The following is a 21,924-nucleotide window of genomic DNA, read 5'->3' on the forward strand; positions in this document are numbered from 1 at the left end:
GGGAAGCGAGGGAGAGAGAGGGAAGGAGAGAGAAAGAGAATTTGTTTTAGGGAACTGGCTCACATGATTGTGGGGTTGGCTAGTCTGAAATTTGTAGGGAAAGCTGGCAGGCTGGAAACTCAGGAAATTCCTATATTGCAGTCTTAAGGCTGAATTCCTTCTGTTTCAAGAACTCTCAGTCTTTGCTCTTAAGGCCTTAAACTGATGAGCTAAGGCCCACGGCAGTATGGAGTGTAATCTGCTTTACTCAAAGTCTACTGATTCAAATGTTAATTACATGCCAAAATCACCTTCACAGCAATGTCTAGACTGGTGTTTGATTGAACAACTGGCCACCATAGCCTAGTGCATAGAAATAACTATCCCGGGGACTCACCCTGGCAGCAATATACATGCTGGTGAACAGTCCAGTAGCTGCAGTCTCTTAGAATTAGGAGGAGCTGCCAAGGTGCCTTATCTCATTCATGCCTCTGGTGGAGTCCTCCTGTGGCAAGTCACACCAGTGAGCAGTGGGGCCCCATCAGGAAGGACTGGGCGGGGGTGCCCAAGCCCCTTATTCTGCCTTGTTCTGGCCCTGCCCTGGCCTGATCCTTACCCCAAACCCATATCCCCGGGGCCCTGAGTCATACCTAGTTTTTCCCTTTTGTCACTTCATTTATTCTGAGCTCCAGGACTAAAAAGAGAGAAATCAGTCCCTTTTCACATGGAGCTTACATTCCAGTTGGAAGTCAGTCAATCATATGAACAAATAAACAAAAATATTTCAGCCCGTGATAAATACTATGAAGAAAATAAGACAGGACAATGGGATTGGTAATGATGGGGTCTCACCTTTCTGAGGAGGTGCCATTTGAACTGAGAATGAGGGATGCGTGGGAATCAGTCATGCACAGATCTGGGGAGCAGGGGGGTCAGCAAGCGCAAAGGCCCTGAGCATGCAACTTCTTGGGAGCCAGAAAGAAGGCCGTTTGCTAGGCGCACAGTGAAAGAGGGAGAGTCACACGAGGTGAGGTCAGAGAGAAAGAGAGGGGCCAGGTCGTGGGGGTCTTGCAGGTCATGGTTAGGATCCTGGGACTTGATTCTAATTTCAAGGAAGCTGTTGGAAAGTCTGTAGTGGTAGAATGCTATAATCTCACATTTTATAAAAGGTCACTCTGGCTGCCATGTAGTGAATGGACCACACAGGGAAAGAGTGGAAGCAGGATGCCTTGTTGGAGATGTCACCCAAGCCAGAGATGATGGTGGCTTGGAGCGGTGTGACAACAGCGCAGATGAAGAAAATATACATTTGGTGCATTTTTGGAGGCTAAAATGACAGGCCTTTTTGATGAATTGGATGTGGCAGATGAAGGAAAGAGGAATGAAGGAAGATTCCTGGGTTTTTATCTAAGCAATGTGTTGAATGGTGCTTTGGTTAACTGAGATGGGAGAAGCAACAGCTGGTGGAGGGTGAAGGTGGGCAATCGGGTTTGTAATGCCTCTTAGGTATGCAGGGATGTGGTCAGGCCTGGTCACCTACTGCTGCCAGCTTCAAAGTGGCAGACCTGAGCTGAAACCTGGACAGGGCGACTTTTTCCCAGTGGCTGCCTGGAATTCACTTGCTTTCCTTTATCATCAAGCTCACCGTTGGATGGTAACCCCATGAGCTATACCTGCGGGGAGTTCTACCTGAGCTTCTCAGCTCTCCTTGTATCTTGAGCCCATGGCTCCTCTCTCTCTGAGGCAGTTCCTGCCTTCTGTTGAATTCAGCTCAGTTCCACAAGTTCTTATGGACACCAACTCAGTTTCAGATCCATGCTGGATGTTGGTAGCACAAGGACCAGCAAGGCATGGCTAGGCCAGCTTCCACAGTTCCTGCTTGCTCTCTGGAGCAGGACTTTTAAAACCTGGGTTCATGGATGGACTGTGTATTAGTCCGTTCTCATGCCACTATAAGGGCATACCCGAGACTGGGTCATTTATAAAGGAAAGAGGTTTAATTGACTCATAGTTCTGCAGGGCTGGGGAGGCCTCAGGAAACTTACAGTTGTGGCAGAAAGGGAAGCAAACACATCCTTCTCTTCACGTGGCAGTAACAAGGAGAAGGGCCGAGCAAAAGGGAGAAAAGCTCCCTATAAAACCATCAGCTCTCATGAGAGCTCACTCATTATCACAAGAACAGCATGGGGGAACTGCCCCCATGATTCAATTATCTCCACCTGGTCCCTCTCATGACACGGGGGGATTACAGAAACCATAATTCAAGATGAGATTTGATGGGGGGAACACAGCCAAACCATATCAGATTGCAAGGGAAAGATCTGTAACTTCCCAGACATGTGGTATAAAATTTGTGTTTAGGTACATTAATGTGGTATAAAATTTGTGCTTAGGTACATTATGGTATTCATTTTTCTAGGAAGGGGACCTATGGCTTCTAACAGACACTAAAAAAAGGTAGGTGACCCCCAAAATGCCAAGACTGCTATTCTGCGGGTGAAGCGCCCAATGCTTAATCCCTCTCCCTCCAGTCTTGAGTCATCACCAGCATCCAGCCTTTCTCAACCTTGCAGCTGCTTCAGGATGTGACAGATGTGATAAAATGCAGGGCAGGTCGGGATAGGCCAAGAAGCAGGAAGGGGCTGGATCTTAGGGTGTGTGAGGGACAGGTACAGAATGCCCCTGGAGAGAGTGTGGGGGGCTTCAAATGCCATCTGAGGAGTCTGGATTTACCCCTGCGAATGATAGGGAGTTAGAAAGCATCTTAAGCATGGGTGACATGGACAACTTTGTGTATCAGATAGTCCTCTCTCATAGTTGGGTGGAGCGTGGACAGGAGATGGGTAAGGCTGGAGAGGGAGAGTCAGGAGGAAAGAATGGGAGATGAGACAGTGTGGATTTGGAGTGGAAGGAAGAGGAATGGAGGGAGTGGAAGCTAAATGACCACTGCCTGTTGCTACAGAGAGAGGCTATTCTGGAAATGCTGAGCTTGGCAGAAGAGGCTTTGGGGGCTCAGGGGAGAAAAGAGGGGTAGCTTGTTGGCCAGAGAAGTGGGGAGACACCTGGGTTGAATGAGGGTCTACAGGAAGGCTCCCTGGAAGATGGACAGCCTGACTCTGCAGTGTGGCCAGGCTTCTCTTGGAAGACACTCTCCTGAAGTCCTTGTGGGCAAATGATTTGGGATCAGGGAAGAGAGGACTGAAAGTCAGGGAGGCCAGAGGGTGCATGGCGGACTGTAGGCCCCTGCAGGAGGAGAACTGGGAGAGGTCAGAGGCTGAGGGCGTGCAGAGTCTCAAAGGTAGGCTAAGCAAAAGCAGGGAAATCAGGGGAAGGATGGAGGCTGAGATCACTAAGGGGCATTCCACAGGAACAGTTGCTTCCTCAGGGTGACCATGCCCAGTGCCTCTGTATATGCTCTTCCCTGGGGCTAGAACACTCCATCCTCCTTCCCACACGTGCTTGGTGTCACGCCCCAGGCTCTCGTCCTTCTGTGACCTCGAGAGCAGAGCCAGTCACTTCCTCCTCCCTGCTCTCACAGCCCCTGGGCTTGCCTCCTCAAAGCACTTTGCAGGCTGGATTGCTGGTGACTGTGTGTGCTTGCTACCCCCACCCCCAACCAGGAGACTGGACTTCCTGGGGGACAGGCTTGTCTGTCATCCATGGGTCCCCTGAGTCTGGTACAGCTGATTGCAGCCCTGCTATGGATATTGAACTGTTAGGTCCTGAGTGGGACACTCCTGCCAGTGGGTTTACAAAGGAGCCAGTGTAGGACATAATTTAAAAAAGTGTTTGCCAATTTATTATAAAGGATATTACAAAGAATACAGATGAACAACAGCCAGATGGATGGAATAGATACCTAAGGCAAGAGATGTGGGAAGAGGCGAGGGGCTCCATGCCCTCTCTGGATGCACCACCCTCCAGGAGCCTTCAGGTGTTCAGCTACCAGGAAGCTCCCTCAAACCAAACCTTTTGTGTTTTTAAAAAGGATGGTTAGTTGCCTTGAAGTAGGTGGCGATGCCTTAACTGCATGCATGCTGTCAGGTTGCAGGGTCTCTTCCGTCATTGTCAAGGGGAGTGCTAACTTTCCCTCCTTTCTTAAAACATGCAACATGATGTTTTAATGTACATATGTATGCATAATGTACATATGTATGCATAATGTACATAGGCAGGAACTTGCTGTGCAACTATCAGTAGTTTCTTTCTATCCGTAGCCGAAGCAGTTACTATGGCCGAGGAAACTGACATATCCATTATCTCACATAGTTACCTTTCTTTCTTTTTTTGGTGAGAGTACCTAAAATCTACGCTCTTAGCAAATTTCCAGTATGCAATACAATATTAACTATAGTCCTCATGCTGTCCGTTGAATCTCTAGTCTTATTCATCCTATACAACTACATCTTTCAACCCTTTGACCTACATCTGTCCAGTCCCTCCCATCAATCATCATTCTTCTGTTTTTATGTATTCAATTTTTTTAAGATTCATGTGTAAGTGAAATCATGCAGTGTTTTTCTTTCTTTCTGTGTCTGGTTTATTTTACTCAGCATAATGTCCTTCAGGTTCATCTATGTTGTTACAAATGGCAGGATTGCTTTCTTTTCAAGGCTGAATAATATTTCTTTGTGTGTGTTTACATTTATATATAAATATATGTAACACACATATATATGTTTATGTATACACAAAGAAATATATATACACACATATATTTATACATATACATCATGATTTCTTTATCCATTTATCTCTTGATGGACACTTCGGTTGTTTTCATATCTTGGCAGTTTTGAATAATGCTGCGATGAACATGGGAGTGCAGCTATCTTTACAAGGTGGTGATTTCATTTCCTTTAGGTATATACCCAATAGTAGGATTGCCAGATCATACAGTAGTTCTATTTGTAACTTTTTGAGGAACCCCCATACTGTTTTCCATAATGGTTGTACCAATTTACATTCTCACCAACATTATACAAGGGTTCCCTTTTATCTACAGCCTTGCCAATCCTTGTTATCTCTTGTCTTTTTGAGAATAGCCAGCCTAACAGGTATGAGGTGATCACTCATTGTGGTTTTGATTTGCATTGTGGTTTTGATTTATCTTTTATTGTACCTGTTTGCCACTAGTGTATCTTTCTCTACCTTTGTTTTCCCTCTTCTTTCTTTCCTGCCTTTTTAACCTCACCTCTCACTTCTCCTGAAAAGTCCTTTCCAGTCTTCTACTCTGTTCCAGGAAAGGGTAATAGAAAGATCCAAACAAATGATGGCCTCAGACGTGCTGGGCCCAAGCAGCCCCAGACACCCACTGTGGCCTGATCTTGCCCTGTGGACCCCTCTCCGCAGTACGTTTAAGCTGGACCAGCCTTTAGTGGGCGTGGTGGGGTGCTTGGACAGTCGCCCCCTGCCTCTACCATAGGAGATCTGGGACTGTCTTTGGAAACCTCAATAATGCAGGTGAGAAAATAGGCACAGAGAGGGGAAAGAAGCTGCTGATAGTTGCAAGTTCCTGGGATGTCAGGCTTGCTCTGCCACTCCGAGGCTGTGTGATCTAGTGCTAGCCTCAACTTAGTTTTCACATCTACGAAATGGGCATAACAAGAGGAGAATTAATTGTGAAGGTGTTCTGAAAGTTTTTTCACATCTGTCACTGATAAACAGTGGGCCGTACCTAGGACCTAAATTTCTTGATTTCCAGCCTCATACTTTTTGTATCCATCAAATATGTTTGATGGAGCTAAGGGTGAACTGTTCTAGCTGGGATGTGCAGCCACTCTGGGCACAGAAAGTCCTCAGCCAACCACTGTAAATGTGCTGACTTGACTCCACACAGACTTTTTACTATATGCTGGAGATCCAGTAGAGAGGAAATTGTGGGCAGCAAAAGGAAGTGAAAAATTGCTCCCTCACCCTCAGCAAGGGTTCATTATTAATTCAACAAATATTTATTGAGGACCTATTATGTGTCAGGGTTTGTTCCAGGCACTGGAGATACAATGGTGAGCCAGACAGCAAAGTTCTTGCTCTCATGAAAATTCTGGATCTTTCTTCACCTCTGATATCCTGACTTATCCTGCCCTAAAGTAGTTTCAGCCTCCCCAAACCAAGGGCCAGAAGGCTTCTTCCCCTCCACCCTGGATCCCAGTCCCTGCTGTCTCTAAATTACAGCTCTGTTTCCTGGGGCAAAGTGCCAGGCTCAGCAGGAACACTGGCAAGGCCTTTGGAAGCCAAAGATAACACCCCTCATCTCCCCGCAACTCTTCCCCAGGAGTCGTGGTCCCCTTCTGCTGAGTTCTGGGCTTTGTCAGGGATGGGCTGCCCTCTGGGGGTCTGGCTGGACTCTCCCAGAGCAGCTGAGCTTCAGGCAGGCTCCCTCTGCCACTCTTCTACCTCACAGAGAATTCAGTCTTACTCGAAATCCCCAGCCTCAACTTTAGGCACTAGCTCGAGCCTTCCTAAAATTTCCCAGTGTCCACATTTCTAATGCCCAGGACTCTGCTTTTGCTCCAAGCTCAGAAGCCCAGGTCTGGAGCCTCTGAGAAGTGGCTGACAATCTCCAGGGTTCCCAGGCTGCCCTGTTGAGATGGAGGCAGCCTGGGCTGATACTAGAGCCCTAGGATGGGCACAGGTAGGCCTGGAGTTTGGTCCTGTTTCTGCCACTTGCTTCCTATGTGATATGGGGCAAGTCACTTTCCATCTCCGAGCTGAGGTTACTTGTTTGTGTGTTCATTCATCCATTCACGCATCCAGCAAGCCTTTTGACTACTCTTCACCTCCTGTTGGGTCAAGTCTCAGCTCCTTGACACAGTATCTAAGGCCCTTCACAGTCTGTACCATCTAGGAGGAAGCTGGATGAGAGGTTTTGTTTCCTGAATGGCTCTTGTTCTGCCCTCTGTCTTACCAGTTCTTCACATGCCTCATCTGGAACCCCAGCTGGTCTCCTGTGCCAGGCACCCTGGCAGGGGCACACTCTGGGCATCTGAGCACAGGGAAGCTCTGTCTTTCTCTAGGAATTCTGGCTGCCTGGTGCTAACAGACAGGGTTTTGAAAGACGATTTTCCAGTTCCTGAGTTCAGGCCTAAACTTGGAGGTGGAAGAGAGGGCACCGAGGAGTAGGTTATTTCAAGAACCAGGGAGGGCCAGCTGGCCAACAGGCTCAGAGAGGTAGCCTCTGGGTGGACAGCCCAGGGAAAAAAAAAGATGGGAGGACAAAGGGTTCTGTAGAAGCTGAGACCTGGAAGTGGACATGGGCAGGTTGGTTTGACTCAGAAATTGGGACTTGAGGTTGCTGCTGCCTTGGTGGCCAGACTTTAGAGGAGAGCACAGCTTGGATGTGTTGGGAATGTATCCTGTTCCATCACTATGATTGTGGTGATTAGTTCAGGGATGGGTACATGGCCCAAGAGTGGTCTTTCTGAGTGAATTCCAGGAATTGATCCTGAGCATTGGGGAAGAGACTTGTTCTTTTCCCATTGGACATGTATGTGGGAAGATGAAGCTTGGAATTGCTGGTAGCCATTTTTCCATAGATGTAAAGTCTGAGATTGAAGCCAACAGAGACAGAGCAGAGCAGAGGTACAGCTAGACTGGGCAATGTCATTCTTTGAGCCTAGTGTAAAGCTTTGCCTGAAGCTGGCTGTCCCTGGTCTTTTTTAGTTTCATGTGCCCTTTTTTGCTTAAGCCAGTTAGAATTTTTAAAAAATCACTTGCAACCAGAAGAGTCCTACCTGACACATAACCGATGATAAAATTCGTCTTCAGAAAGATCAATGTGATAGGGGAAGAGCCCTCAAGAAATCATCAGACCTCAGTCCCACAGGAACTCGGTGGAGCTCAATTGTTGATGACTGCCATCTTGTGTGGGATCTAATGGGGGCCCCACTGATCTAGAGACCAACAGCCTGGGGGCCCAAGACAGCTGCTCTTTGATTCCAAATGAGGTATGAACAGAACCTGTCCACCTGGACACCGAGGCACCTGCCTTGTTGTGCCACATGTATCTGTGACTAAGAGGAGATTTGGCTGGTTACTGCCTAGCTCTGTAGCCCAGTCAGCTCACATAGTCCAGGGAAAAGGGATTAGTTAGACATCAGGACTGGGACTTGGAAAACCCATCTGGGGTGGAGGGTGCTTCTGAAAGGGGTCTACTTAGAAATAAAGGCGAGAGAAATCCTGTGTCCCTCTGATGTCCATCATAGCCGTACAAGCTGCCACTCCTGGATATGACTTAACCTTTTGACAGCTCTTCCCCAAATGGACTTCTGGGTCTCTACTTGGACAAAAGAGGGCTAGGCAGAGAATTCAGGGCTTTTGGCCTGCAGAGGTTGAAAATGTAGCAGAGCAGAATGAAGATTAAACGGAACTGAACACTGGAACGTAGTACAATTGTCCCTTGATTTCCGTGGGGGATTGGTTCCAGGACCTCCCACAGATACCCAAATCTGAGGATGCTCAAGTCCCTGGTATAAAATGGCACAGTATTTGCATATAACCTATGCACATCCTCTGTATACTTTAATCATCTCTCAATTACAGTCATGTGCCACACAATGATGATTAAGTCGATGATGGGCTACATATACAATGGGGTCCCCTGAGATTAAAATGGAGCTGAAAAATTACTATTGCCTAGTGACATCGTAGCCCTCATAAAATCATAGTGCAATGCATCATTTACATGTTGTGATGATAAACAACCATTCACATTGTTTCTGGTGTAAACAAACCTACTGCACTGCCAGTTGCACAAAAGTATAGCACATACAATTATGTGCAGTGCATAATACTTGACAAGATAATAAATGACTATGTTACTGGTTTGTGTGTTTACTATATTATACTATACTTTTTATCATTAGAGTGTACTCCTTCTACTTATAAAAAATTGTTAACTGTAAAATAGCCTCAGGAGGTCCTCCAGGAGGTATTCCAGAAGAGGACACTGTTAGGATAGGAGATGACAGCTCCATGCATGTTACTGCCCCTGAAGATCTTCCAGTGGGACAAGATGTGGAGGTGGAAGACAGTGATATGGATGATCCTGACCCTGTGCAGGCCTAGGCTAATGTGTGTGTTTGTGTCTTCGTTTTTAACAAAAAAGTTTAAAGTTTTAAAATTTTAAAGAGTAAAAAAAAAGTTTATAAAAAATAGATGAAAGCTCATAGAATAGGATATAAAGAATTTTTGTACAGCTATACTATGTGTTTCAAGCTAAATGTTATTACAAAAGAGTCACAATTTGCAAAAATTAACAAGTTTACAAAGTAAAAAAGTTACAGTAAGTTAAGGTTAATCTATTATTGAAGAAAGAAAAAACGTTTAAAACAAATGTAGTGTGGCCTCATTGTACAGTATTTATGAAGTCTACGATAGTGCGCAGTGATGTCCTAGGCCTTCACATTCACTTACTGATCACTCACTGACTCACCCAGAGCAACTTCCAGTCCTGCAAGCTCCATTTGTTCATTTTTTAGTCTTTTATACTGTATTTTTACTGTATCTTTTCTTTGTTTACATATGTTTAAATACACAAATCCTTACTATTGTGTTACAGTTGCCTACAATATTCAGTATAGAACATGCTGTAGAGGTTTGTAGCCCAGGAGCGACAGGCTATCCCATATAGCCTAGGTATGTGGTAGGCTATACAATCTAGGTTTATGTGAGTACACTCTGTGGTGTTTGCACAACCAAATCACCTAAAGACACATCTCTCAGACCATATCCCCATTGTTAATGGATGCTTAACTGTACTGATAATACCTAATAAAATGTAAATACTATGTAAATAGTTGTTATACTCTATTTCTTGGCAGTAATGAAGAGAATAAAAGTCTTTATATGTTTAGGATGGATGCCACTTTTTTTTTCGAATATTTTCCATCCACACTTGGTTGCATCCATGGCTATGGAACTCTTGGAGATGGAGGGCCAACTATATATAGAATTGTAGTTAGTGGCCGGGCTTGGTGGCTCATGCCTGTAATCTCAGCACTTTGGGAGGCCAAGGCGGGTGGATCACTTGAGGTCAGGAGTTCGAGACCAGCCTGACCAAAATGGTGAAACCTTGTCTCTACAAAAAATACAAAAATTAATTGGGCATGGTGGTGGGCACCTGTAATCCCAGCTACTTGGGAGGCTGAGGCAGGAGAATCGCTTGAACCTGGAAGGTGGAGGTTGCAGTGAGCCAAGATCTCACCATTGCATTCTAGCCAGGGTGAAAAGAGTGAAACTCCATCTCAAAAAAAAAAAAAAAAAAAAAAAAATAGATTGTTGTTTGCTGGATTTCTACTCAATAGAACAGAAATTACCTCAATAGTAAATATTCTATAGTTCTCATTTCAGATGAAAATTCAGCTGTTCTCAACGACTTTTTTGTTGTTTGCATAGGTGATCCTCAACTTTGATATGTTCTAATTTTCATGCATGTATCTTTCACTTCTGTGACTGTATACTGATAACTCAAACAGATACTTCATCCTTTAGTTGATGGGTGGTGATTTTACCTTCCCTCTTGTGTGACCACTTGCTAAGTGCTGCTGCTTGGGGATAAAAGGCTGGGTTTCTACAGAGACAAGGGGTATGGGAAGCGTTTATGGTACAGCTGCCCCCCTTTCCCTCTGTGTGCCAAGGGAATCCCAAATTTTCTGAATGCCTGGAGTTTGTCGGTTGATAACAAATTGTTGTACAATGAACAATTAGGTGTTTGCTTCCCAGGCCCATGCTCCCCTCTCCACCACTACAGTCCTTGCATCTGGTAAGGGTGGGAAGGGGGTTCAGTGGCCACTGGTCCTAGGTGATGGCAAGGGTGGTGTCACTGGCTGGGGATGGTGGAGACTTTGCCGTGCCACAGGGGTGGAGAAGATGAGGGCAGAGAGGAGAGGTGGAATCATGGAAGAGAAGCCACAGGCTCGACCTCCCAGGCACCAGGGAGCAACAGAGGGATGCTTGTGAAAGTTTTTATCTGTCAGGACCCAAGATAGCTATAATGCATGTGACAGGGATGGCAATTTTGCAAATATAAAACAGATATATTTAATTACTCATTACATCACTGTTTTCCCTCTGAGATCCAGCTACAAAAATTATCACTAGAGGGCAGGAGAGGTCTCTTTAGCAAGAAACATGCGTCCTAGCCCAGGGTACTGGCTTCTCCCATAGTGTGGGGGCAGTGCTGACTAATGCTTCCCTGTTCACAACACGCTTAGAAAGTGAGAATATGCGTGTGGCACACTGGGGTCAGCTAAAGGGGATTTGGGAATGCCTACATGGGAGCTAGTGAAAAAAATTCACATTTTCTTCATGTTATATTATTACAATAATATACAAAACAAAATATTAAATGTTGAATTTATATAATATTCTAAAGAAAATCATTTAAATATTTTATTGTTAAACATGAGCTTGCTTCAAATTAACATGTCTTTTTTATGTAGTTTTAGGCTTGAAATGGCTACATGGAATTTCTGATCAAGATTTTTAAGGGTTTCTTCATTCTTTTTTCAAATTTCATTTGTTTCTAATTTTTAAATGTTTATAGATTTAGTGGGTACAAGTGCCATTTTGTTACATGGATATATTGCAAAGTGGTGAAGTCTGGGCTTTTCCTGTAACTATCACTTGAATAGTGTACATTGTACCCATAATCATCATTAACAGGAAATTTGTTTGTACAGATTGGTGATAAAAAGTTAAAAACAATTTTGCACCTGTTAAAAAATATATACCAGTTGAAATCATATAGAGACTATAACGGCATTTTCTTTTTTCAAACAACAAATGTGGTATTGAAATTTTTTGGGATGAGCATTGGATTTAGCACCCTTCAAACCTTTTGGATTCTAGTGCACTTAGGTAATGGTGAAGCCCTAATCTGCAGAATACACATGCAATTTTACATCAGATATCCTGCAGGCAGTGTGGAGGTGACTAAAGAGGCTCATCTACTGAGAAAGACAGGAACAGCCCATATACATCGAGTGACTGTTGTCCTGATTTGTCCTGAAGGGCTCTGATTCATTCTTCTGACATGACATGACTATCCAGAGCACTTCCCTTTGCTAAAAAACAAACAAGAAGCGTGCCAGTTTGGTGTTCATACACAGTGTGGATGAATCTCGAAACATTGCCCAGAATGAAAGAAGCCAGACACAAAAAAGTACATGCTGTATGATTCCATTTATTTGAAATTCTAGAATAGGCAAAACTAATTTGTAGTGATGGAAGACAGATGAGTAGTTGTCTCAGGCAGTGGTGGGGGTGAGTGACTGCAGTGGGGCATATGGGGCATTTGGGGGGTAATGACAACATTGTGTATCTTGATCATGGTAGTGGTGACACTGGTGGATCACCCATGTATACATTTGCAGAAACTCATAGTACTATATAGTTAAAATAGATGCATTTCATTATATGTAAATTATACCTCATTAAAGTCGATTTAAAAAAAGAAAGTATACTATTTTGGACAATGAATTTTATGGTTTCTGTACATAGGCGTGAAGACAGATTCAGGGCTGCCATTTCTACTGTGGCTGCCAGAAGCTCCCTCCTGCTCTCCTTGCCCCCGGCCCCATCCCTCTTGGTCTGTGCTCTGTGCTCACCCGACGCAAGGGACACACACTCCTCCAGTGGGTTTCTGGCTCTGTCCATGTGGGAGTGGCACACTATGCAGCAAGCTGCCAAAGGACGTGTCCTCGCCGCTTGGGATGAGATCACTGTCCTTGCTGTTTGATGGGGCCCACTCTTGGCTGCCCTCCAAGGAGCTGTAGGTGAGGTTCTCCTTAGAGGTACCCAGCCTGTGCACTTTGGCTGCCCTCTCACCTGAGGACCGAGGGCATCACCATTGTGCTGCATGCCTGTGGCCCATCTGAAGCACTTCCACGGGGAAGCTCTGGCCTAGGGAAGGTACCTGTGCCTGTCCCTAAGGCTTTCTCATGAGGCTAGAGTAGAAAGGGGGAGGATCTGACATAAAGGAAGCAAATAAGCACCCATTTCTTGGTCCCAGGGAATTGTGGGAGGAAGAAGGAGGGAGGACAGGAGATGGTGGAGAGTGGAGGGCAGTGGCGGGGGCAGTGCAAGGAGAAATGGAGCGGGATGGGAAGAGAAGTTGAGAGTGGTCAGCCAGATGGGTCTTAAATTCCCTTTCTGGGCTTTGGTCTAGAGCAAGTGTTGGCGAACTATTCTGTAAAGGGCTAGATAGTAAATGTCTGAGGTTCGTAGGATCATATGGTGTCTGTCACAACTACTCGACTCTGCCATTGCAGTGGAAAAGCAGCCAAGGACAATGGGTAAATGAATAAATGTGGTCATGTTCCAAGAAAACTTAATTTATGGGTGGCAAAATTGGAATTCATGTAATTTTCATGTGTCACAAAATATTCTTCTTTAGATTTTTTTCTCAACCATTAAAAATGTAAAGACAATTTTTTTTTTTTTTTGAGACAGAGTTTTGCTCTGTTGCCCAGGCTGGAGCACAGTGACATGATTTCAGCTCACTGCAACCTCTGCCTCCCAGGTTCAAGCAATTCTCCTGCCTCAGCCTCCTGAGTAGTTGGGATTACAGGCACACACCACCACACCTGGCTAATTTTTGTATTTTTAGTAGAGACGGGGTTTTTAGGCTGGGAGCCACTGCGCCCGGCCTAAAAAATGTAGACAATTCTTAGCTCATCTTCCTCATAAAGTGGGTGGTGGGCCTAATTCGGCTGTTGGGGCATCGCTTGCCAACTCATGTATTTAGTGTGGGGGGTCCTGAGGGTGGAGGACTTAGGGAAAGGTGTGGCTCTTGGAATTCTGAGTGTCAGCATAGCTGCTCCCTTCCCTCACTCCCTCTGCCCTTCTCCATTCACCAGGCATCTTATCTGTGTAACCCACAGATTGTAATTATGGGTTCTCAGGCCTGCACCCCAACCCAGGGGCTGTGCCATGCTGTGTGTGCTTCATAGCTGCCCCTCCTGGACCTAGTGCAGGGCTGGGCCCAGAGTGGGCCTTGATAACATTTGTTGTCTGGAATTAAATCAGCAGCTCACTAGTGGAATCTGCCCAGGCCTGGCTAGAAACTGGGAGCTGTAGCCAGTCCCTCCTGCCCTGTCCTCAGGGGCCCTCAGCCACCGAGGATGCCTGCCTGTTGCTACGCTGGAGAACATTTTGTCATGTTTACTAACAAGGAATCCGAGGGGTGGAGTGGGATGGGGACCAAGGAGGGTGTTCTGTAACACCACAGGGCAGAGAGGGATGGAGATGGACTCAGGGACAAGGTCAGGTTACAGAAATGGACTTTGGCAGGAGCATTGACATGGGGCAGGGGCAGAGACAGCAGGAAGCAGAGGGCAGGGGGAGTGAGATGTGGGTTTCCTGTGGGGCCCTCCCTTCCTGGGCAGGATGGAGAGAAGCTAGATGCCTCCCATGCCTCCCAGGGAGAGCTATGCCCAACAGGCATGTGAGAGCTCCCTTGGCATCCCTGGGGACTGATCACAGAGCACCGGAGACTCAAACTCACAACTCTCCTGGGTTCTTATAAGAAGGAATTTCAACTCTCAGATTTTGTCTGCTGTGGGTGGCAAAGGATAATTGCTTTGGGAAAGGGCAATTTTGGGTGGAAGGAAGGGGATCTCCCTGGGCCCCAGTGTTTTGTGGATTGTGTGAGGCACCTGCAAGGTCTTGGAGAAATGGTGGGCTGGACAACAACAGCGAGGCCCTGGCCTAAGCTGACACTGCTGCTTGAGTCTTTAATGCATGTATTCTTTTCTTCACAAAGGACATTAAAAGGAGACCTTTTAGCATCAGGTTATATGAAGGACAAACAAAGTTAGGACAAATATGGGTCATCTTCCTGGAGCATCAATTTGACGTGAACATTGGTGGGGAATAGCACCCCCACCTATGTTTATATTAAAACAAATATACATATAGGAGTAAAATACTGAATTTGCATAGATATATATTTAAGGAAATAGGGAGCCTGGAGAGAAATTTCCAGTTTTAGAGGCATATTTAGGCGATGCTCTCAGACCCTTGGAATTCGTGTTCTTTCTTCTGCCCTTAGCACTGTCACTTTGTCTCTATTTTACGAATGAGAAAAACAAGGTCTGGAGGGGTGCGTCAGCAACTTGCCTATGTGATAACACAGAACAAGGAGGTAAGGGTAGGACTGGAACCCACATTGCTGGGCTCTGCATTCAGCATGTTACCTGCTACACAATAGTGAATCTAGAGTTTCATGCTTTAGTATTTTGATTTCAGTAGTGCCATGGAAATAACCAAATCTCACCTGTCCAAGTCGTCTTTGGGCACAGCCCCATGTTTCAAATCAATCAAGTCTAGTGGGAGGCAATGTGGGGTAGTGGAGTTAGGGGCTGAAAGTCAAGAGACTGGAGTTTACCTTTAACCAGTTCTTTAGATAATAAAGCTCCGTGACTTTAGGCAAATGGCTTAACGCCTCCGGGTTTACCTTCCCTATCTGTAACATGTGGTAGCTACACAAGATATTGCCTAACAGCCTGGCCTTCTATGATGTGGGACCACTGCTTGCCTTTCTAGAACCTTCAGACCTGTAGATGGGCTCTTCTTGGACATTCTGGAGTCCCTGGGGGAAAGGGAAGTCTGAAGCTCAGTTGGCCACCTCTGCATAACAAATACCGAGAGCACTGCAAGTGGAGCTTGGACAAGGTCTGGAAAATCAGCCTTCTTCTGGATGCCTCCAGCCTTTGCTATCATCTGCCTAGGAGGTTGGAAGTTACTCAAGCGGCTCAAGGAAAAGGTATTGTGAGCATGCACCAGGTCATGTGATTGGAAGGGCTATCTGCTCCTGGCCTGAGGCCAGCACCCAAAGCTGTCCACATCTCCCAGGGACAGCAGCATCTTTCTTCTTTACTACATTCTCTCTCCTCTCATCTTGATTGGCTTCCTCTGCCTGTACATGGCTAACTTTGCTACCAGCCAGAGTGGGAGTAACCCACAGCCCCTAAGTCCCCTCCAGAGAGGGCTGTCAACAGGGCTGGCTGCTGAGCTGGGGAAGGTGGGAGGGTCTCACCATCCCATATGTAGATTTCACTTAATTTCCCTGCTTTCAGGACAGTGCTTCACCTTTAACTTCCTCTTTGCCAGGTATCGCTTATCCTTGAGTGTCTCTGGATCAGTTTCTCTGGAGATGAAATTATCTATGGCCTACCAGGATAGTTTCCAGGCAGTGCAGAGTTGGGAGGAGGACTGGGGTAGAAACACTTTCTTATAAAGACTTCTGCCCTATCCACCTGTTTTCAGCCCCATTTTTCACCCTGGCTCCAATGCATGAGGCTTTGTGGGGTCGGTGGTCGGAATTTGCTTGCTTCTTGCTAACATTTCTCTTTGCATTCACTTTGGTTTCAGCTCTCTCTGCTTTGCTAAGCTGGTTATCATCCAGCTTCTTACCTCTTCCAATAATTATTGACTTCTCTTGTCCTCTGTCATGTTCATGCCATTCTCTTTGCTCTTGTGGGCTCACTCTTTTTCTTTTTTAACAAAATTTCATTACTTTTACTTTAGTGGGTGTCAGGATGGAATGGACATACCACATGTGTTTACACCCCCATGTTTCATTAGAAATCCTAGTCACTGTTCAACACATTCTCTCAGCTCCATCAGTCCTTTGAAGCTGTTCTTGTCAAGGACACCACCATTTCCATGTTGCCAAATCTCTTGGTCACTTTGCTGTCTGTCTTCATAATACTCAGTCTCTCAGCAGCATTCCACACACTTGACCACTCTTGAAAAACTTGCTTCTTTTGACCTTCATGATAACACATGCTTCTGATTTGTCTGCTACATCCACTGAGCATGCTTCACCCTCTCTTGCTATATCTTCCTCTTCTGGGAATTCCCATGGACTCTTTCTTTGGTCCTCTTCTTTTCTCTATCTATACACTTTCCCTAGCTGATCTCATCTAGTCCTAGGGCTTTAAATACTTTCTATATACCAATGACTCTCACATATTTATCTGCAGCCTTGATAGCTTCCCTGAATCTCAACTATCTACTTCTCCCAGACATCTCCATTTGGATGCCTAATAGCATCTTAAACTTAACTGGGCAAACCTGAACTCTTGATTTTCACCGCCAAACCAGTTCCTTCTTAGTATTTCCCATCAAAGTCATGCTCATACACTGAGTGGCTGAAGGCCAAAACTCAGGATCATGCTTCACTCTGCTCTTCCTTTCTCCTTTCCCATTTACTATGTCAGCAAGCCCTGTCGGTGCCTCCATGATATATGATTAGTGAGTCTGCTTCTCCATTGCCACTGCTGACTGACTGCTCCTGTCAAGGCCACCATCATGTGTTGCCTGGGCTATTCCAGTTGACTCCTGAGTGGTTTCCTGGCTTCCACTATGGCCCTCCAAGGATCCACCTTCCGCATAGTAGCCAAATGATTCCATTAAACATGTCTATCAGGTTATGCCACTCCTTTGTTTAAAATTTTCCAGTGATTTCCTGTTGCCTTAAAATAAATTTCACACTTCTTACCAAGGCCTCTGCTCCTCTGCAAACTCTTTCTCTTCTTTTTAGAGATGAGGTCTTACTATTGCCCAGGGTGGGGTGCAGCAGCTTCATCATGTTTCACTGCAGCCTCAAACTCCCAGGCCCTGTCTCAGCCTCCCAAGTAACTAAGTCAACAGGCATACCCCACCTCACCTGGCTAATTTTTTTTAAAAAAGAGATTTGGTCTTACTATGTTGCCCAGGCTGGTCTTGAACTCCTGGCCTCCCAAAGTGCTGGGATTATGGGTGTGAGCCACTGTGCCCAGCCTAAACTCCTTTTTTTTTTTTTTTTACACAGGCTTAATCCACTATGGCCTTTCTGGTCATCTCCCATTCCTACCCCAGGACCTTTATACTTGTTCTTCCTTCTGCCCAAGAAGGAAGACTGCAGCCACAATCTTGATGCTTACTGCAGCCACAACTCCTCATCATTCAGGTGCAAGCTCATACATTCTCAGAGAGGCTCTCTTAGTCTATTTTATCTAAAGTAGGAACCCCTTCTCCCAAATCATTTGCTAGAACAGTGGTCCCCCACCTTTTCGGCACCAGGGACTGGTTTCATGGAAGACAATTTTTCCAGGAATGGTTTTGGGATGAAACTGTTCCACCTCAGATCATCAGGGATTAGATTCTCATAAGGAGCGTACAACCTAGATTCTTCCATGTGCAGTTCACAATAGGGTTCGCGCTCCTATGAGTATCTAATGCCACCACTGATCTGACAGGAGGTGGAGCTCTGGTGCTAATGTGAGCGATGAGGAGAGGCTGTAAATACAGAGGAAGCTTCACTTGCTTGCTGGCCCACAGCTCACCTCCTGCTGTGCCACCCAGTTCCTAACAGGCCATGGACAGGTACTGGTTCATGGCCCTGGGGACCCGTGCTCTAGAACATCACTTTGTTTTGCTTGTCTTAAAAAATTCATAGTAGGTATCATTATCCAAAATTATTTTATTTGTTTACTTGCATACCAGCTAACTCTCCCCATTAAAAAATGGACTCTATGAGAAAGGGTCCTTGTCTGCATTGCTCATTTTTCATATCTTTATCTACCACAGTGCTTGGAATACAATAGGTGCTCAATACATACATGTACAATAAATGAATGAATGACCAGTTAAGCTAAAGGGACTAGGAGTAGAGACAGTCCCTGGAGAGGGGGATGTGGGTAGAACAGGCATTCCACAGCGTGTCTCTTGAACTTTTGCTTCATTCTAGGCCAGAGTATGACACAAAGTCTCCTAATTTTATAAAGGGTCAGTAAGCACAAATTGAAGGGAAAGGTGAGGGCAGGGGCAGTGGATGTGGGGAGCGTGGGACAGCTCAGGAAAGGTGCAGTACGTGTTGCTCTGCAAAGATTTTGCTCCATTCTTTTGTCCCAAGCCGCACAGCTTTTCCATTGTGACATTCTGTAACTTTCTGGAAATTTTTTTTTTATGGCCCTTGGGTAATTTTCCACGTGGTCAGCCAGCTCCGTCAAGTGCAATGGTGAGGAGTGGGACTCAGAATGGCTGGGAGGCCCCGAGACCATCAGACAGGGAAGATGCATGTCGTTTGCACCCGGCACTGACTTCCAGCTCCCTTTTGCGTAGGAGGCTCCTGGACTGTGACATACAGGATGTTCCTGTGTGGCTCTTTTTAAGGAAGCCTATTTTTCCTCCATGTTAAAACTAAAATCTGTGGTCTAGCTCGGAGCAGATGTTAAGAGCACATTCTCTCTAAGAGTGTGGGCTGGAGTGTGGGCAATGGCTATTTATCACCGTTTCCTTTTCTTTGTGTTTCTCTGTGGTTATTGAAGTTTTTGGTTTGGGGAAAAACAACAAAAACAAAAATAGCAACATATTTATGAACAAAGAAGAGAGCTAAAACTTAACATCTGGAAGAGAGGAAAGAGGGGAGTAAGGTGCCTGAAAATAATTTCCTTTAGGAGTGACTGGAGGCTTCAGGGGGATCACAGCACTCCTGTGGAATTTTTACAGAACTAAGGAAGGCTGGAGTCAGCCAAACTTTTGAAACCTCAGCATCCTAAACCTCAACTCTTGCTGCCCTGAGAAGAGCATGAGCCGGCCAAGCCCTGGTGGCGGCTTCCCCAGGACCTCCCACTTCCTTCCTGATGTGCCTGCAGTCCTGGAGCTGTGATCGCCTCTTCTTTAGCTTCTTAGAAAAGAGGCGGCACAAGAAAAACGCTCAGTCATCTTGCAGAGACTTGGCATCTCTCAGCAACACGTTCTCTCTTTCTCTCTTTTCTTTTTTCCTTTGAGATGGGGTCTCGTTCTGCCGCCAGGCTGGAGTGCAGTGGTGTGATCTCGGCTCACGGCAACCTCTGCCTCCTGGGTTCAAGCGATTCTCCTGCCTCAGCCTCCGGAGTAGCTGGGACTACAGGCGCACACCACCATGCCTAGCTAAGTTTTGTATTTTTGGTAGAGACGGGGTTTCACCATGTTGGCCAGGATGGCCTCGATCTCTTGACCTTGTAATCCACCCGCCTCGGCCTCCCAAAGTGTTGGGATTACAGGCGTGAGCCACCACGCCCGGCCGACACATTCTTATTAACTTGATGGCACAGTTGGCTGGCAGGTTCCCAGGTCATGTTCTCAGTGATTGGAGTTCTTGCTGTTTCTTGGACTCCTTCATGTCTCACCCAGTCCTAAGTCCCTTCCTTGCTTCTTAATTAATTTATGTCCTTGTGTAATATGTGGCACACCCACATAGCCATGAGGCATGTTCAGGCTGTGTTTTTTAATGTTCTGGCTTGTTCTACATTTGCCAAGTGGGCAAGGACAGCAGTTACCTGATTGGCTCCATTTGGGCAGCAGAACCTAAACAGTGACTACCTGTTGGAATCCACCTGGCCTAGGTATCTTTTGTTTGTTTGTTTAAATAACAACAAGCATTTCTTATGGTGTTTTGTTTTCTCCTGAACTCTGTAAAGACAATGGCAACACAGAGGTCAGTCTAGAATGACTATACTGGCACTAGGAGATGAGAACTATACAAGTGGAATTAAGCAAATGTATAGACACAAAATCATCACAAAAAGGGTGAAGTGCTGTTCAGTTATTGATGCCAGTCCCTCTTCTCTAGGGGACTGTGACAGCTGTAGCCAGATGTGTCCAGGAGATTATCTCTGTCCTGATTCTGTCAGCATCCTCTTCATTTATTGTCTGGTTTTGCTTCTAAGTCTTCTTCTGCATCTCAAGCTGTCTGCATGCCATACTGTCTGCATTGAAATGATTTGCTTGCTTAAAATGAGTCTTGGCCAGGTGCAGTGGCTCACGCCTGTAATCCCAGCACTTCGGAGGCCAAGGACTCCTGAGGTCAAGAGTTCGAGAGAAGCCTGGCCAACATGGTGAAACCTCATCTCTACTAAAAATACAAAATTAGCCAAGTGTGGTGGCACATACCTGTAATCCCAGCTGAGACAGGAGAATCGCTTGAACCCGGGAGGCAGAGGCTGCCGTGAGCCGAGGTGCCACTGCACTTCAGCCTGGGCAAGACAGAGGGAGACTCTGTCTCAAAAAAAAAATGGGTCTTAATATCAATAGTGGGGAATTCTCAGTCTCTCCATCAGCAGGTGCTGAAAGCTCACAATAAAGGAGAAAATTTTCAATAGCTGTTTTTTTTTTTAAGAGATGGGGTCTTGTTCTGTTACCCAGGCCAGATGCAGTAGTGTGGTGATCATGGCTCACTGCAGCTTCAACCTCCCTGGGTCAAGTGATCTTCCCGCGTCAGCCTCCCAAGTAGCTAGGACTACAGGTGTGTGCCACCAGACCCAGGTGATTTTTAATATTTTATAGACATCTTGCTATGTTGCTCAGGCTGGTCTCAAACTCCTGGACTCAAGCAATCCCGCCATCTTAGCCTCCTGAGTTGCTGGGATTATAGGCGTGAGCCACTGCTCCCGGCCCAGTAGTCATGTTTTTGAGGAAGTTTATTTTTATCCAGTATGTTTGGCTCTGCATGGGTTCCTTAAGATACTAGGGACTGTCTTTGGGTCACAAAGCCAGCATGACACTAACATGGGTCTCAATATCCTTTGCTTGATAGCTTTGGACCTGAACATCACCTGACAGCTCCACACACTGTGTTCTGGCTTGTTCCTAATCCTGCCAGTTCCTGACCTGCCATTGTTCCATGTTTGGCTTCACCTTGTCTTTTGCACCTGACATTTGGTCCGTGCTGCTGGCTCTATTCCACCTATGGCAACCTGAATAAAAACTCTCTTTCCAGCCTTGTTTCTAAAGCTCTTCCTTGGCCCAGATCCCCCTAGGTGGCTTCTACCAGCCTTGTCCAGTTGAGGAGCATGGCCTAGACACCTGTGAGGGTCTCTGCCTGCCTCCAGCTGTGCCCAGGATTGGCTTCTCCTCAGCTGTGCCTCATGCTGGGCCACATCATGGGAGCAGGCTGGTCAGCAGGGGTGGATGCTG

The 21,924-nt window shown here is 45.9% G+C and overlaps 1 long non-coding RNA gene and 1 pseudogene across 1 annotated transcript in view, besides 3 other annotated features; one reads left to right on the forward strand and one right to left on the reverse strand.

Moving 5' to 3' along the window:
• The window catches only part of CAND1.11 (uncharacterized LOC100130460), a 122,361-nt gene that overhangs the window by 86,919 nt on the left and 13,518 nt on the right, over window positions 1-21,924 (forward strand). The window contains exon 3 of the long non-coding RNA NR_103765.1: window positions 15,526-15,745. This is a non-coding gene — a long non-coding RNA (uncharacterized LOC100130460). The remainder of the gene's footprint in view (window positions 1-15,525; window positions 15,746-21,924) is intronic.
• Window positions 3,961-4,086, reverse strand: RNU6ATAC33P (RNA, U6atac small nuclear 33, pseudogene; annotated as a pseudogene).
• Window positions 13,586-14,086: an enhancer, noted in NCBI's record as "H3K27ac hESC enhancer chr11:10430364-10430864 (GRCh37/hg19 assembly coordinates)". NCBI's record gives its function as "activates a minimal SCP1, AML or CMV promoter by ChIP-STARR-seq in naive H9 embryonic stem cells {active_cell/tissue: H9 hESC(naive)}" and the evidence as "EXISTENCE:reporter gene assay evidence [ECO:0000049][PMID:30033119]".
• Window positions 14,087-14,587: an enhancer, noted in NCBI's record as "H3K27ac hESC enhancer chr11:10430865-10431365 (GRCh37/hg19 assembly coordinates)". NCBI's record gives its function as "activates a minimal SCP1, AML or CMV promoter by ChIP-STARR-seq in naive H9 embryonic stem cells {active_cell/tissue: H9 hESC(naive)}" and the evidence as "EXISTENCE:reporter gene assay evidence [ECO:0000049][PMID:30033119]".
• Window positions 20,830-21,043: a silencer, noted in NCBI's record as "fragment chr11:10437608-10437821 (GRCh37/hg19 assembly coordinates)". NCBI's record gives its function as "represses an EF-1alpha promoter that drives an FKBP-Casp9 reporter gene in an ReSE screen in K562 erythroleukemia cells {active_cell/tissue: K562}" and the evidence as "EXISTENCE:reporter gene assay evidence [ECO:0000049][PMID:32094911]".

The sequence above is a fragment of the Homo sapiens genome, chromosome 11 (genome assembly GCF_000001405.40).
Source record: "Homo sapiens chromosome 11, GRCh38.p14 Primary Assembly".
Lineage (NCBI taxonomy): Eukaryota > Metazoa > Chordata > Mammalia > Primates > Hominidae > Homo > Homo sapiens.